Consider the following 14361-nt stretch of genomic DNA (forward strand, 5'->3'; position numbering starts at 1 on the left):
TGGTTTGGTTATCAAGACTGAAGATGCCAAACACACACACCAAGCTGGCATGAAAATGTTTACTACTTATATAATTGAGGTGTCTGGGGAGAGCAGGGGATGCTGCTCCCATAAATATATACAACTATTATGGATCCATAATAATTAAAAATAAAAAGTTTAAATAAATAAAAAACAAACAATGAAGAAGGTCTGAAAAGGCTTGAGAGAGTAAGAAAAGGAGATTGGCTTGGCGTTTTTATTGTGGTTAGGCAGCAGTGCAAGGGTGAGAGTTTCTGCAGAGGTTCAGGGGTCTACTCAGTTTGAGTCTCCCACAGTGCCAAAGGAGGGAGCACCAGGCATTCACATCAGCTTGTTCTGATGTTGGACACAAATGCAACAGTGAGAGGAGGGGCTTAAGAGCTGTTAGCAGTGACACATCAAAAAATGGAGTCAGGTATTCTTTATTGCCACTGACAAATTGACAAGAAATAAAAAGATGATTCTAAATTTCATATAAGACATTTGTAGACAAAATTAATTTTGAAAACATAAATATAGAATAATCACTACTTGATTTCAAGATTTATTAGAAATCTGTAGGTATAAACCAGTATGGCATTGCATAAAGCTTGATAATAGAACATGGAAAAGAATAGAGAATCCAGAAATAATTGCACACATATTTAGACAACTCATTCTTAACAAAACTGCAAAAGTAACTCAATTCAGAGAGTACAGTATCTCAATAAATGGATATTTATATGCAAAAATTTAAACTTTGCTCCATACCTTGCATCATAGACAAAAGTTAAGTAACATAAATAAATGTTAAACCTAAAACTATAAAACTTCTAGGACAAGATGTAGAAATAAATCTTTATGATCTGGGGCTAGGCAAATATTTCTTAGAGATAATGTCAAAATCATGATGCAAAGAAAACCTGATAACTTAAATGTCATCAAAATGAAAGACTTCAATGCTTCAAATTTTACTGTTAAGATAATTAAAAGATAAACCACAGACTAAGAGGGTATATTTGCAGACTAAATATGTAATAAATGACTCATTCCTGAACAAGTTTCTTAATAGCAGCCTTGTTGACATTTTGGCCTATTTCTTTATGGGATCCTAAGCAGCTTCTTTGGCCTCTATATTCTAGATACTAGTAACATTACCTTCCAAACCTCCACAATCCTGACAATATGTCCTATGAGATTACATAATTACTACAGGTTGAAAACTGACATAGACAATGTAAAAAACTTAAACAAAATGGATAAAGTGTCCTGAACAAAATATTTGAACAGAAAATGTTTGTTCAGAAAATGAACAAAATGTTTGAACAGAAAATTCACCAAAAAACATGTGCAGATTGCAAGTAACCACACAAATAAATGTTCAACTTAAGAATTTATTAGAAAAACATAAATGGAGACCGCAAAGACATATCGCTATAGACCTATTAGAATGACTACAATTAAACAGACTATCACAACACATGACAGTGAAAATGAAGATCAAATAGAAACCTCATCGAGTGCTGTTGGGAAGGTAGAATGGCTTAGCCACTTTGGAAAACAGTTTCTTAAAATGTAAAACATACACCTACCATAAAATTTATCCATTCTGCTCCTCAATAATTTTCCAAAAAGAATAAAAGCCTATCTTGACACAAAACATACATATTTATAATATCATTATTTGTAATTGCAAAATAAAATTGAATAATGAGGAAACAGGAAATTTCCATCAACAGGCAAATGTATCCAGGAATTATAGTATATCTATACAATGGAAGACTACCCTGTAATAAGAAGGGATCAGCTACTGATACTTGCAATGACCTGGATAGAGCTGGAGACCATTATCCTTAGCAAACTAATGCAGGAACAGAAAACCAAACACGTCAAGTTCTCACTTATAAGTGGAAGCTAAATGATAAGGACACATGGTGGGGAAAAACAGACACTGGGACCTAGCTGAGGGTGGAAGGTTGGGGGAGGGAGAGGATCAGGAAAAATAATTCATGGGTACTAGGCTTAATACCTAGGTGACAAAATAATCTGTACAACAAACACTCGTGACGTAAGTTTGCTTATATAACAAACTTGAACAGGTACAACTGAACTTAAAATAAAAATTAAAAAAGAAAGAAGCCAAACATGAATGACTGCAGAGTATATAAATTTCTTTATATAAAACTATAGATAATACAAACAAATCTATACTACCAGAAAGTAAATCAGTGGTTGCCTAGGGAGTGGGTGATATGAGATACAGGAGAGGAATTGTAAAGGAACACAAAAAAACTTCTGGAGCTATGAATAAAATTATCTTGATTTGATCATTTTATTTTGTATACATATGTCAAACCTTGCTAAATTTTATGATTTAAAAAGTATATAGTTTAGTGCATGCCAATTTTGCTCTAATAAAACTGTTTTCAGAACTCCTAGACTGTAAGAAATCAAGATCAGAAACTCCATTGCCAAATGGGGCATTCAATATTATAGATTAGTCATAGGGCAAGACAGATACTCATGAATTAGATCTGAAGAAGAAAATCAAAGTGAGGTGAAAAGAAAATTTGTCTCGATTCTAAATATCTTGAGAATTACATAGAATCACAATAATTCTCTTTTAGTGAAGCAGCAGTTTTTGGGGGGTATTAATACATTTTATCTTTGGTAATTCCTATTTACCAGCATTTCTGCAACTTGCATATCCAGAGCCTTGCCTGAGGGACACGGATTAGAGGAGGTTTTGCATAAGGTAAAAATAATATTTTTATCTGTATATATTATTAAGCCAGAGTTGTGGAGTTTATTGCCCTCTTGAAGAAAGAAAATACAAAGATTTAGTCACCTTGTAAAAGAAAGAGGAAATTGGAAGTTTGCCCTCTTTTATCCCAAGAAAATTATTGAAAAGAGAGCTAAAATGAAGATTGGGTTGTGTGTTGGAGTGGGGAGCCAGGAGTCATATCCACCTGACCTTACAAGGGCAAGGGGAAAGAACAAGAGTCGATGGGAAAGAACATATCAGAAATATCAAGATAGGAATGTGAGAACCAAGGAATATTATTTGGACTGTTATCATTTATCTTTTGGCATAAATTAGGTATGTTGCAGCCCATAGAAAAGCTCAGGACATAAATGATATCCAACATGGCATGGAGTTAAAGTAGTGCTTTGTCAGAAGGCAGTGGAGGGATATGTAGAAATCAGAAATTTGTGTGGTTTTGTTGAGGGAAAGCAAACCTCTTGGTGGGCCATCAGAGGTCTTGCAGAATGCTCCAAGAGGGAGGTATCTTGGGGAATGTAATGACCTTTCAGTAGGTGTCAACATTTGTAAGCATCTTTTTGTGGAAACAACCATTCCTCAGGAACTGACAACAGTTCAGGCCAGAATCTTTATAAGTACAAGGATACAGATGTCGCTACAAGGTCATGACTCTTCTTTCTCTCATAGTCACGAGTTTCTATACCTCTACACTCAGAAACTATCTTGGATATGATCAAGGTGAAGCATTTACCCAAACCACACTGAATCATCCAAAAAGCAACCTGAAATAAAAGACATGATAATACTGTAAATTGTTAAATTAAAAGAAGATAATATTAACATGATAGAGCAATGTTTTGGGATGATTGCATTAATTAAAATAAGAAATACTGTATTTTCTTTGCAAATATGAGCACAGTGTTTACAGATTTTAACCTTATTGCATTCTTTAAGTAAGTAACTGGATTTGAAACAATAGGACATGTGATTTCAGCTACAATGAGTGGAGCAAAAAGGAAGGAATTAAGCGAAACGAAAGTGTAAATAGAAGTATATGCCAGTAAATCAGAATGAAGATGAAAGTTATATACTTTTAAATATGTACTGAATCTGTTTCCTCGCAATAAAAAGTAGCATAAAAATTTATCAACTGAAAAAGTGGCATTTATTTTCTTTCAAAAGATGCTTATCTTTAATAGCATTTTTAAGGCTACTATTTAGCATGAAAATTTAATACGCTGTCCTTTGTCAATGGGCAAGGGTCTTTCATAAATATTCCCTAAACACTCTTGCAACATTCAAGGTGATTTGCTTTAAATGGCAGAGCAAATATCTGAAACCAGTTTCTTAAAATCAGCTTAGATTTCAGCAGGTCTGAAAAAAGAACAGATTTGTACTTGAATAGTTTCCAAGCAATCTGTTTAGTTCTGCGTATGCTTCAATTCAATTTCATGGCAATTTCATAAACAGGTTGCATTTTAATCCACTGTGCTATTAAACTGATAGCTATCACTTTTTCTTTGAGTGCCATACTATGGGTATACAATACAAATTAAAATGAGAGAACATTTTTAAAGGATCTGTAGTTTGAATAGTTTCTCAATAATTCTTCAATTTTTCCTTTCTGACAATGTAATGATTTGGGGTTGCATTTTTTACTGAGAAGTATTGCTATATTTTCACATTTTTAATAATCTCGTTCATGCTGAGTGCATTCACTTAGCTGGATTAGTGTTAGAAAGTTTTGGGAGCAGATACTTGAACTATAACTCATAGAAGTGACTATATGTGATTATTAGATGCTAGAAAGATGTTAAAAAGTAAAAGAATGCCTAACAGGAAGCTTTGCCCTGTAAGAGATTTTCAACATGTTTTGAAAAAATATCTCTATTCTATTTTCTCATCTTATTTCTACCTTGTTCCAGTTTTATAAATGAGTAAACAATGGATTTAGTTTTTTAAATTGTTTTTCTTTACTGTGACAAATACTTACATTAAACTTAGGGAAAATGAAATTTCCTCAAGATATGAGATTAATATTTTTACTATTTGGTATAATATGGCATTATTAGAAAACTATAAAAAATAAAAAGAATTTATCAATGATTCAATTCAAAATTGAATTGAAGGTGATGCATAGACTTCTGTCATATTAAAAAAATTATCATTTGAACAGCAATCCTTTTACCTAATATTGTTATACATGACAATTAAATCCACTTTATGTTTTATGGAAAATTTTATATATTTATATTCTAGACTGATGAAATTTGATGTTAAAGATCATAATTAGAAACTCTCCTAGCATCAAATGTACCAACTTGAAAATCTATGTGACTTGCTTAAGAAAATAAAAATGTAGGCCGGGCGCGGTGGCTCACGCCTGTAATCCCAGCACTTTGGGAGGCAGAGGCGGGCGGATCATGAGGTCAGGCGATCGAGACCATCCTGGCTAACACAGTGAAACCCCGCCTCTACTAAAAAGACAAAAAATTAGCCGGGCGTGGTGGCGGGTGCCTGTAGCCCCAGCTACTCGGGAGGCTGAGGCAGGAGAATGGCGTGAACCCGGGAGGCGGAGCTTGCAGTGAGCTGAGATCACGCCGCTGCACTCCAGCCTGGGTGACAGAGAGAGACTCCGTCTCAAAAATAAATAAATAAAAATAAAAAAATAAAAAAATAAAAATGTTAGTAAGTTCTTAAAGATGCTACCTTTGAAAAAATTTAATCATTTCTTCAGTGAAAACACAATCGGAAGAGTTAAATTATACAAGTTAGAATTGTAAGTGAAATAGAAAATAATTGTAATTGAAATGTTAAAAATAATAATGAATCTTTTAGAGCAAGCTGTTTTTAAGTTCATAGACAATCTCCATCATCATGATTGATTTGATTTTGATTAGTTGTCTTCTTCCAAGTTGACAGTAGCTTGGCTTTTTAAAATAAATAAAATCTTCCAGGCACGATGGCTCACACCTGTAAACCTAGCACTTTGGAAGGCCCAGGTGGGAGGATCACTTGAGGACAGGAATCTAAGACCAGCCTGGAGAACATAGTGAGACCCGATCTCTCCAAAGAAATTAAAAGATTAGCCAGGCAGGGTGGCACAGGACTGTAGTTCCAGCTACTTGGGAGGGTGATGCTGGAGCCCAGGAATGAGAAGCTGCGATGATCTATGAAAGTGCCACTGCACTCCAGCCTGAGTGACAAGCAAGATTGCATCTCAAAAAAAAAAGTAAAATCTTCATATGTCTTAAAATGTAAACGCAGCCTTCTATTTCACTTTATGTAAATATTCTTACATTTGACATGGACCTAGTAAAAGGTCAATATGGTCATAGTTCTTAAGTTCTTTAAATTCAACTTCTTATTGGTATGAGAATAACAAAAAGAATAATTCAGTCACATGAGATTATTACAAAGTTTACACAGAGAAGACCTGAAAATTTGTACAATGCTGAAATACAGTGATAAAGTCTGTAATAACAAGATACGATTACAACTTATGCATGACAGTAGACAATGATATATACCCAAAACAACCTCTTAGATTTCATTTACAATATTTTTGTTATCTCCTTAAGTTAGAAGGATCAGGAATTCCAGTGGTCATCAGGGTATCTTTTTTACAGATTCTGCTAAAATCTTCTACAAATTATTGCTAATGGGTTATTTGGCTCTTGATTATTGGTTTGTAATTGCCACAGCCATTTCTTATTTGATCCATGGCTTATTTAAAAGTGTTTTTTTTAATTTAAAAAATAGAGTGTTCTAAATATATTTTGTTATCAAAGTTCTGTTTAATTTTATGATGGATTCTGCTTTATGCACTAGTATGTGGTATAATATAGCCCAAGCCACTTGAAATAAGAGGCTATACGTAATCTCTGTGAGCAGCTAGCCCAGAGTCCATACATCACTGTGCACCACTCTTGCAGTAGTGCTTTATCCCCAGTTTGCACCTATGACCACAGAGGGTGAGGTCTCACAGAATAAACTGAAAAAGAGAAAGCAAGCTTAACTATGAAAATTTTACTGAAGGCTGTAGCTAGTTGAATGAGGCAAGAAAAAGAAATGAAAGGCACACAGATTAGAAAGGAAGAAGTAAAACTGTCTTTAATAGCAGGTAACATGGTTCTTCATGTAAAAAATCATAAGGAATAAGCACAACACATTTGCACACACACACACTACTTGAACTATTTAAATTTAGTAAGATGATGGGATGCAAGATTGATATTTAAACATCAATTTATATATAACATTTCTGTCCAGATGACAAGGTGACAATTGCCCACAATGAGCTTTTTTTGGATGGTCTCCTTCTACGGAAAAATACCCTCTTATACAACTTGTCAAAGCACTGTCCAAAGACAGTCTTATGAAGTTGTCACCCAGAAAGGTAGGAGGGTAAGGGAACTCCCAGGGGAAAGGGAAATTGGAGAGGGAGCTTGTGTGTCTGGGTGATGTTGCTCAGCAGCACAATGGAAAATCCTTGGGTTAGAGAAACCAGAAAGGGAGCAGTGAGTTGGTGCCTTATTTAGACTGAGGGTGTGTTTGATGAATGGCTAGCATATGTTGGGTACAGTTTTGCATGGTATGCAAAGCAGACTAGCTCTAAATGACTAAAAGTATGCTTATTTGGGCTATATTTAAAGCAATTGTATGTGTATTTTGTTTAGTGTCTGTGGACTTTTGAGCTAACAGGCCCAGCCTGCTGTAAAGAAGTTAACAGCATAGAGATCAATATACAGGGACTATCTTTAACCTATTTATAATACACACACACACACACACACACACACACACAAATATAAGCAAAAATCAATTGAGCATTAAATTAGGGAACCAATTTGATTTATAATAGCATCAAGTAAAATAAAATACAAGGGAATATATTTAACCAAACCAGCCTGTAAGCTGAAAAGTACAAAATATTCCTGAGAGAGATTTAATAAGATGTGAATAATTGAGATAATTCCATATCCATAAATGGGAAGACTCAATGTTGCACACATGCTAATTCTCCACAAATTGACCTATCAATTTAATACCAGCTCTCTCAAAACTCCAACAGGAAATTTCAGAGAAATTGATAACCTGATTCTAAAACTCACATAATAATTAAAAGAACTTAGGATAGCCATAAAAATTTAACAAAGAACAAAGTTTGTGGGCTTGCCCTTCGTGATATCAATACTTATAAAGCAACATCAATTTAAATAGTGTGGTATCGATGTCATGACAGACAAGTAAATTAAAGCAAAAGCATGGGATCTAGAAACATCTATACATGTCTGCTGAGTTGATTTTCAACAAAGTTGCAAGGGAAATTTCGTACAAAAATGTTAGTCTTGGTGACCTTAGTCCCAGCACCCATATGGGACAGGATATCTACCTCCAAGTAAATGAACTTAAACCCTTACTACACATATACAAAAGTTTAGCTCAAAATGGATCACAGACTTCACTGAAAAGCTATGTCCATAAAATTTCTAGAAGAAAACAAAGCGCAAAATCTTCATGACCTTTGTTTAGACAGATACTTTTTAAGATATAACAACAAAAACATAATCTATACAAGGGAAAAAAACATTAATTGAACTTCTTCAAGTTTAAAGAAATAAAAAATAAATTGTTCTTCCAAAGATGTTAATAAGAAAACTAACAGAGAAGCCCAGGCTGGGAAAAACTCTTAAAGTTTCATATTTGATGAAGAACTTGCATCCAGTATACACATAAAAGAATACTTAAGGGCCGGGCACGGTGACTCACGCCTGTAATCCCAGCACTTTGGGAGGCTGAGGCGGGCGGATCACGAGATCAGGAGAGCAAGACCATCCTGGCTAACACGGTTAAGCCCCATCTCTACTAAAAATACAAAAAATTAGCCGGGTGTGGTGGCACGTGCCTGTAGTCCCAGCTACTCAGGAGGCTGAGGCAGAAGAATGGCGTGAACCCGGGAAGCAGAGCTTGCAGTGAGCCGAAGTCCCGCCACTGCAATCCAGCCTGGGAGACAGAGAGAGACTACGTCTCAAAAAAAAAATAATGACAATAATAAATAAAAATAAATTTAAGAAAAGAATACTTACAACTTAATAATAAGAAGAAAAATAACCCAAAAATATTTGGAAAGACACTTCATCAAAAACATTTATGAATGGCAAATAAGCATATGAAAATATGCTTGGCATCACTGGTAACTTAATATTCAATGAGATACCATTATACATCTATTGAATTGACTATAACGAAAAAGAATGACCATACAAAATATTGGCAGAGCATCAGAGAAATGCAAATCAAAACCACAATGAGATGCCATCTCACACCAGTTAGAATGGCGATCCTTAAAAAGTCAGAAAACAGGTGCTGGAGAGGATGTGGAGAAATAGGAACACTTTTACACTGTTGGTGGGACTGTAAACTAGTTCAACCATTGTGGAAGTCAGTGTGGTGATTCCTCAGGGATCTAGAACTAGAAATACCATTTGACCCAGCCATCCCATTACTGGGTATATACCCAAAGGATTATAAATCCTGCTGCTATAAAGACACATGCACCCATATGCTTACTGCATCACTATTCACAATAGCAAAGACTTGGAACCAACCCAAATGTCCAACAATGATAGATTGGATTAAGAAAATGTGGCACATATACACCATGGAATACTATGCAGCCATAAAAAATAATGAGTTCATGTCCTTTGTAGGGACATGGATGAAACTGGAAATGATCATTCTCAGCAAACTATCTCAAGAACAAAAAACCAAACAGTGCATGTTCTCACTCATAGGTGGGAATTGAACAATGAGAACACATGGACACAGGAAGGGGAACATCACACTCCGGGGACTGTTGCAGGGTGAGGGGAGAGGGAAGGGATAGCATTATGACGAATTAATGGGTGCAGCATACCAACATGGCACATGTGTATATATGTAACAAGCCTGCACATTGTGCATATGTACCCTAAAACTTAAAGTATAAGAATAACAAAATTAAAAAAAAAAGAAAAAAAAAGAAATGTCAAAAAAATATATTGGCAGAGATATGAATGAACTAGAACTCTCATATTCTGTGGGTGATAATGTGAAATATAACCATCACTTTGAAACACAGTTTAGCATTTTCTTAAAAAATTAACACATGGCTACTTCAGAGCCCAGAGCCCAGCATTTTCACTCCTAATCATGTACCATCAGAATGTAATAATCAGATCTCCAGTTAAAGGGAACCTAATTAATTGACCACCCCAGCTGCTTAACTCAGGTTTTTAAAATTATTAAAATAATTTCAAAAGCATTGTATAGTACTTGACCTATAGTAAACTATTCTTATTGTTAAATAGTAACCCAAATTCTTATTTTATTGCATGTATTTATTTTTTGTTGTTGTTGTTGTTGTTTTTGAGATGGAGTCTTGCTCAGTCCCAGGCTGAAGTGCAGTGGCATGATCTCAGGTCACTGCAAACTCCGTCTCCCGGATTCAAGTGATTCTCCAGCCTCAGCCTCCCGAGTAGCTGGGATTACGGGTGTGCATCACCACGGCTGGCTAATTTTTGTATTTTTAGTAGAGATTGGGGTTTCATCATGTTGGCCAGGCTGGTGTTGAACTCCCAACCTCGTGATCCACCTGCCTGGGCCTCCCAAAGTGCTGGGATTACAGGTGTAAGCCACCACGCCAGGCCTATGTATTTAATTTTTATATGACAAATAAAAATTGTATTTATGATGTACAACATGTTTTGATATATGTATACATTGTGAAGTTTTTTAGATAGTGCTTTGACACTCTTGTCATACATATGTATGACACACTTGCATGTACATATTTCCAGGTCTTTTTGGACATATTTGATATATATATACATTGAAACCTCACAAACTCATTATTGTTTTTTTTGTGATGAGGAAACTTAAAATCTGCTCTTAGCAATGTTCAAGTATACAATACATTGTTCTTAAGTATAGTTACCATATGTTCTTTGTATTCCGCAACTTTACTAAATGTGTTTATCAAATCGAAGAGTTTTTGGTAAAGTACTTAGGTTTTTCTAAAGTAAAATTATGTCATCTGTAAAGAGGGACAACTTTCTTTTCTCCAATTTGGATTCCTTTTATTTTTGTCCTCTTACCTGATTGCTCTGGCTAAGACTTTCAGTAACATGTTGCATAGGATATATATTATATATTATTGTATCATATTATACATATTATATAATATATATCATATATATATATATCATACCACATTATCCATTGATGAACACCTAGGTTGATTTCATATCTTGTCTGCTGTGAATTGTTGCTGCAATGAACATGGGCAGGCAGCTATCTCTTCAAGACACTGACATCGTTTTTTGGGGGGTATATAGCCAGTATTTGGATTGGCAAATCATATGGTTTAACTCTGAAATTGATTCGTGTTTTTGCACAAGATCACACTTCCCATGAGCTGCTTCTAGTCAATAACTGATCATGATAGAACTTACTGGCACAGGCTAATGACTGAGGGATAAAGAATTTCTTCGGTAGTGGACTTTGACTTGAGGATTGTCGTCTTGCTAAATTGTCCTTAGATGCAGCCTAAGCAGTGTAGGCTAAGATGCTCCCTCTTAGCTATCTTTCCTTTATTCTTTCCTTCATTTGGGGTCAGAGTTGCATTGTACTCTGGCATCTCTCCCAGCCTCCTCCAACAGTCATTGCCTTTCCCTTTGGAGTAATCTTGATAGGTTTCGTATTATTTATAATTTGGTTCCTGAGAATGTTCTTCATTCTCAAAATATATGTGGTATCTCATTATTTTCTTTACTTTCAATTCTTTTGTTTGCAGTATAATATTTTCTTCTCACCTAGTTTTATATTTAAAAATCCTTTTTGCATGTGTTTATAGTCTGCTATTTGTCTAGACATTTAATAATTAATTCATGTTTTTGAATTTTTATAGGCTGAAATTTAATTTGATTCCATTCATAGGTTTTCTTCTGTGCTGAAATGTTCTGTTTTTAATTTTTTGAATTTATTTAATCACAAATATTTTAAAGCTCTTACAAGATAATTCCATTATATTGAAATTCTGTGTGTATATTCATAATTTTCTGCTCTTTTGTTTTTCATTCATCATGTTTTCTTATTTTGCCTGGTTGTTTTTGATAGAGTACAAGACATTACATTAGAAAAAAAATACAGGTAATTTGATGGTGAATAATGTTATCTTACTCCAGAAGAAATTTAGGTTTCTGTCTAGTGATGAATCTAATGACCCTTGCAATCCTAGATTACATTTAGTCAATAGAAAATTGATAAAATTTGAAACTGGGTTTTAGTCTCTGTGAGTGTTAGTTTGTATTGCATTCATTATTAGTGCTAGAGTGTAGCATTTCCAAGTATAGACAGAAGTTTTGGGAAGTCTCTGATCTCTAATTTTTATCCTTTTTGCTCTGTGAACCTGCCTACATCTCTGCTCAGGTCCACAGTCTTTTAGCTACTGCTTGTAAAAATGGCAAATTCATCTAGAGGAACATATTGCTAAATGTTGACTCACCTCTCTGAACATTGTTTCTCAACCAGATTAGAGGTTAGTCCCACATATCTTTCTTGCCTTGCTAGTTCTGGAAGGCATGTTTTTTTTTTTTTAATTATGTCAAGTTTTTCTGAATGTTCTAAGTGATAAGGTTAGTCTAAAATTTCCTTGCTGAAAAAGCATTACCTAATAGTATTATAATGATACAGCAAATGATTTTTAGCTTTGATAGCCATGTATGGTATATCAGTCTCATTGAGGAATCTCACTACAGCACCAGCAGCAAGTCTCACACCTGGCAGGGAATTATGGATATCTAACAGCTACAATATAGTGGCCAGGTGGTAAGATCCATTTCCCACTCATGTCATATGGAAAATGGCCTTTGTCTGGGTCCCTTCGTAACAATTAGGAGGTCAGAATCAAAATTTTGCATCTATACACTATTATGACTTCATTTGCACTCATGGCTGGCAAACTTACGTACATTTTTATTATACAAGGAATACATGTCATAAAGAAAACCATATTCTTAGAAATAATCAGAAAGTACTTCTTATGAATTTTGACCTACAGTGAACTTCTTAAAATAAAGTATAAGAAGCAAAAGTAATTATAATAATTCAACTTATACTTAGTAGTGTTTTTGAGTTTCATAGTTGGTTAATTGAGTCTGAGGTTCACCCATGGAGGATTCTATAAGAAAAGAGAGAACTAATTCTGTAACCACAGAGATTGCTGGAAAGATGATGCCTATATGAAAATTATCTTAAATACATAACCTTGCCAATAAGGTACTCAAATCAAAGTAAAATGTCTTTCAAAAATCCTTTATTAAGGAAATTGTTTGGTCAAGACTTTTCATTTCACCAAAAGTTATTTAATGAAAAACAAAAATAGCTAGTTTTGTGACTCTTTTTTAATTTTCATGTATAACAAAGCCAACAGTGTCTTAACTAGCATCCTGGACAGAGATGAAAATATATAGTGCTTTATTTTGTATGCATCTAGAAATGTTAAAATTCACTAAGGGAGTATTATCTAGATTCTTAATAAGGACATTTGAAATGAAATCTCCTTAGATTATTCATTATTATTATGCATTAATAATAGGCCAATTCTGACTCAAGTCAAAAATTGATTTTGATAAATGTTCATAATTACTCTCCAAATAAAGCTTTTTTTGTGAATACAATATTAAAACTTACGATATTAAAAGACAGAACTGTAGAATATGGTTAATATAATTTGATTGCATTATTGTGAAAATTTAAGAGAACAATCATTTTATGCTAAATTCAAAAACAATCATTTACAGGATAATTTTTGAAAATAATTAATTTTATATAATTGAAATACATATAGCTGGGGATAGCAAGTAGCTCTATCATATTAATTCAGCTTGGACTCAGCTGATTTCTATTATCCCTTTCATTTATTCATTGCTTAAAAAGGCTAGAATTCAACCAGTTTTCAAAATTTACAAAGTATACTTTATACTAATCTGTTTTTATTAATATTATTTAAACTCTTAGAAAACTACTTAAGATAAATAAAAAAAGTTGTTTACAAGAATTTGTCACTGCAAATGGATGAAAGTGCTGTTCTGATGAGTATTTGCCACCTTTCAGAAAAGAATATGGCAGTTTTGATAAATGTCAAAATAAAAGAAATGGAAAAAAAGATGGTGGTATTATTACTTAACACAACACTGTGAAGTAGTTGATATTATTATTTTATAGATAACCAAGTTGTTAATTGGTTACATAACTTGGTCTGTATCATATATACATTAATTTTCAGAAGTTTTATAAAATTAAGGTCTGATTTAATTTTCAAGGTAAGAAAGAGGAACATAGAAGGGAAAGGTAAGGTTGGAAAAAATTTGTAAATATCAAAAGTTGGAATCGTATTTTGATTTTCATTTTCACGGGAAAAAAAGTGAGTCCATATCTGTATGTCAAAATACCAGAGAAAACTATTACCCCTAAACAAGCTTCGTATCATAACCAAAAGGAATAAATATAAAGCATAAATAGAAAAAGGTATCAAAGCATCCAACTGTCTCATG

The sequence above is a fragment of the Homo sapiens genome, chromosome 13, assembly GCF_000001405.40.
Source record: "Homo sapiens chromosome 13, GRCh38.p14 Primary Assembly".
In the NCBI taxonomy this organism is placed as follows: Eukaryota; Metazoa; Chordata; class Mammalia; order Primates; family Hominidae; genus Homo; species Homo sapiens.